This window comes from Homo sapiens, chromosome 20 (assembly GCF_000001405.40).
Source record: "Homo sapiens chromosome 20, GRCh38.p14 Primary Assembly".
Taxonomy (NCBI): Eukaryota; Metazoa; Chordata; class Mammalia; order Primates; family Hominidae; genus Homo; species Homo sapiens.
This window is the reverse complement of record NC_000020.11, coordinates 62441397-62445015: the sequence shown is the minus strand read 5'-3', so window position 1 is coordinate 62445015 and position 3619 is coordinate 62441397. Positions and strand designations below refer to the sequence as shown.

Genomic DNA, 3619 nt, shown 5'->3' with positions numbered 1-3619 from the left:
AGATTCCTTCCTCAGTGCCAGCAGCCACAGTTGCCAAGAGGCTGGAGAAGGGGCTACACTTAGTGGGACATTCTCTCTGAAACCCCCGAGGCATGCTGGGGATCACTTTTACAGCCATGAGTAATATCAAACTCTGAGTGACGGGTCTACTGATCAGCCCCAGCCCTACAGCCCCAGAAGCTGGCCAGGCTGCTCCCTTCCTCCACCCTCCTTCTCCTGCCCCAGGCATGGGGGACGAGGCCCAGCCTGGGGACTGGTGGCTGGCAGGTATGGGAGTGGCTTCTCCATCCACCTCTCCCATCCCCTGGGGCACCAAGCCCTTTGCACGGTTAGCTCCTGAATCCTCATCCCAACCCTGAGATGAAGGGGCTGGTTCATCCCCTTCCCCGCTGCACAGATGAGGCATCCCAGGACCACCCAGCTATGAGCAACGGTTTCATCACTGAGTGGGGCCACTCCAGTAGGGGCCTGCACAGGTGAAGCACTGCAAGAATAGGGACAAGCGAGCACTCGGGGTTCTGAGGGACGTGTAGGAGTTCACCAGATGGAAAAAGAATGCTGAGTCAAGATGGTGAGATTGGACATTGAGATCCATGCCCAGGCAGGGCTGAGCCCCCAGCCGCCCCAGCCTGAGACCTGTGGTCATGGGCCATTGCTCCTCACCTCCCTCATTGCTCCTCACCTCCCTCATTGCTCTTCCTTTTTAGCCTCCCTTCCTGGTCACCTACCAGCTGTGTTTTAATTCAACAAGGATGGTGTAAACACCTGCTGTACACCCGGCACCACCTCTGTTCATCCCTGGGCCCCAGCCCTGCCTTGAGTTGACCAGCAATATCCCACTCAGATTTCTCTACACTGTTCAAGAACTGGCCTCAATGTGGAATCCCAAAGGACTCCCAGCTTGCCCCAGCATGAGTCCCAGGGTCGGTTTGGAAGTCAGAGGAAGGGAAGATTGACAGGCATGTCTACATCCAGGTTTACCCTCATGTCCACAACACTACAAACAAATGAGAAGGAAAACATCAATGGTCTACAACATTTGCAACATATATGATAAAGTATTATTAGCCTTAAAATATAAAGAGCTCTTAGAAATCAATAAGAAAAAGATGAAAACCTCATCATGAAAAAAGACACCAGACAATGTGAAGGCAGTTCACCCAAAAAGAAATATAAGTGACTGATAAATATGACAAGTTGTCGGCTTCACAAGTAATCTAAGAAACCCAAATTAAGGGCCGGGTGCCATGGTTCACACCTGTAATCCCAATACTTTGGGGAGGCTGAGGTGGGCAGATCACCTGAGGTCAGGAGTTTGCGACCAGCCTGACCAACATGGAGAAACCCTGTCTCTACTAATAATATAAATTAGCCGGGCGTGGTGGTGCATGCCTGTAATCCCAGCTACTCGGGAGGCCGAGGCAGGAGAATCGCTTGAAACCGGGAGGCGGAGGTTGTGGTGAGCAGAGACTGCGCCACTGCACTCCAGCCTGGGCAACAAGAGCAAAACCCTGTCTCAAAAAAGAAAAGAAAAGAAACCCAAATTAAAGTAAGATATTGTTTTACCCAGCAACTGGCAAAGTTGAAAAAGATGTGATGCCCGCACTGGTGAGAATGTGTAGAAATAGATCATCTCGGGTCTGCTACGGGGGTCAAGGAGAGGACTCCCGCAGGGCAAATGTCGGTGTGTAGACAGCCTTAGAAATGGGCACAGCGTCACCAGGGAGTCAAGGTCTCATTTAAGAAGAAAGAAATGGATGTGGCATAGCCCCCACAGGTTCGACTTCTGGGGAGCATTCCCAAGACATAACCTCGGATGAGATGTGCCTAGAGATGTCCATACGAAGATGTTCATTCCGGGTTGTTTATGAGGCCCCCAGATAAAAGGGAAAACAGCCCAGTGCCCAACCAGAGCAGCTCATTGATCCCATGCGACTTTAGGCAGCTTTAAAAATGATAGCGTGAAATTCAAAAATGAGAGAATGCACCCATGAAATATTGTGAAAGTGAAGAAAGCAGTTTATGGAGAAGCTCAAGATGACCCCCCCATTTTTGTAAAAGGAGGAAAAAGAAAATAACTATAACCGTAACAATAGATAGATGATTGGCAGATAGACACATAGATACATAGACAAATGTATACACATGGAAACATATAATGGAAATAGTAGTAGTATAACTGGGGGTGGCCGGCTGTGGGTGACTGTTTCTTCATTGGTGGTGTGTATTTATTTCCCAGGATTTAAAATCTTCCACGGTAGACATGTGGTTATTCCTGGGCAGTGTCCTTGTGTCCAAGCTGTTCTACTAGCCCCACTTTCCCCTCTGGCCCCCACAAATGCAGGAATCCGCAGGGCATGGGGGGCCCCAGCGTTACCAAGGTCCCACCAGCCCCACTACGACAGCACAGTGTGGACTTGGTGAGAGGCAGGGTCATCTCTGCTCCGGGCATCAGTTCCTCCACCTGCACGGCAAGCGCATTGGACCCCAGGGTCCAGGGACGTCTCTCTGCCACGGTGGGGCTTCCTAACCCACCTGGGGGCCTGCAGCACACCAGAGAGAACCTGAAAGTCTTGCTTCAACCCCAGCCAGCTGACCATGACCCTGACCAAGACCCTGACTGACCGTGACCCCAACCAACCCTGATCCTGGCTGGCCATGACCCTGACTATGACCTTGGCTGGTTGTGACCCCGACCGACCCTGACCCTGACTGACCATCACCCAGGGCTGACCATGAGCAGACTGGCCTGGACTCACCCCTGGCTCTCAGCCCCAGTGGCCGCATGCCCTGGAGCGAGTGATTCAGCGTCTCTGAGAATCCATGTGCTCGCCCTCAAAATGGGTTTACATCGGTGCCGGCCCCGAGGGGAGCTGCAGTGGCTCAGAGAGACGCATGTGGAGTCCTCACAGCCCGTCAGTGTTCAGGAGGCATCCTCTGTGGAGGAAGGAGGAAGGCCCAGGCTGGCCTGTAGGCTGCCTCACAGGCAGCTCTCCCTGCACCCAGTCCCCCAGGGTACGCCCCCTCCTCTCAGGGTCACAAGGCACCTGGCAGGGTTTTCTGTGTCTTCACCACCCTCGCCCTTGCCCTCGCTGGGAAGGCTCTACCTACCCCTGCCCCCAAGGAAGAAGAGGCATGCGCTGTCTTTTCCTAGGCCCAGCTAAGACCCAGCCAGGGTATGCAGGAGCAATGGCCTAGGGGAGTCTCCAGCAAGGGGGGGGTTGAGGAAGGGGATCCCCAAAGGTGTGAGAGGAAGAATAGCTGGAGGAGAGGAGGGGCCTGGGCTATATGCTGTGGATGGGGCAGCACACCAGGCTGGACGCTGGTGACCCTGGGAGCAGAGGGCAGGTCACTGGGCCCTTGTGTGGGGAGCAAGCTGGGAAGGAGCGCCAAACAGCCCTTCAGACACAGACTGCAGGAGCCTCCGAAGCCCCCGAAGCCTGCAGGACACCCCTAAGGCTGCCAGCCCCTCTACAGGGCAGAGCTGAGTGGAGCACCCAGAGTTGCCCCTTCAGCTCCAGACACCTGGGCCAGGCACCCTCCAGGGGTCCTAGGCGCATCCCAACAGAACAAGCACCCAGCAGATGCAAAGCCCGCTGTGCTGGGGCAAGCGCTCCGG

At 54.3% G+C, this 3619-nt stretch overlaps 2 annotated features.

The window, feature by feature from the left end:
- Positions 2347-2847: an enhancer, noted in NCBI's record as "H3K4me1 hESC enhancer chr20:61017225-61017725 (GRCh37/hg19 assembly coordinates)". NCBI's record gives its function as "activates a minimal SCP1, AML or CMV promoter by ChIP-STARR-seq in primed H9 embryonic stem cells {active_cell/tissue: H9 hESC(primed)}" and the evidence as "EXISTENCE:reporter gene assay evidence [ECO:0000049][PMID:30033119]".
- Positions 2848-3348: an enhancer, noted in NCBI's record as "H3K4me1 hESC enhancer chr20:61016724-61017224 (GRCh37/hg19 assembly coordinates)". NCBI's record gives its function as "activates a minimal SCP1, AML or CMV promoter by ChIP-STARR-seq in primed H9 embryonic stem cells {active_cell/tissue: H9 hESC(primed)}" and the evidence as "EXISTENCE:reporter gene assay evidence [ECO:0000049][PMID:30033119]".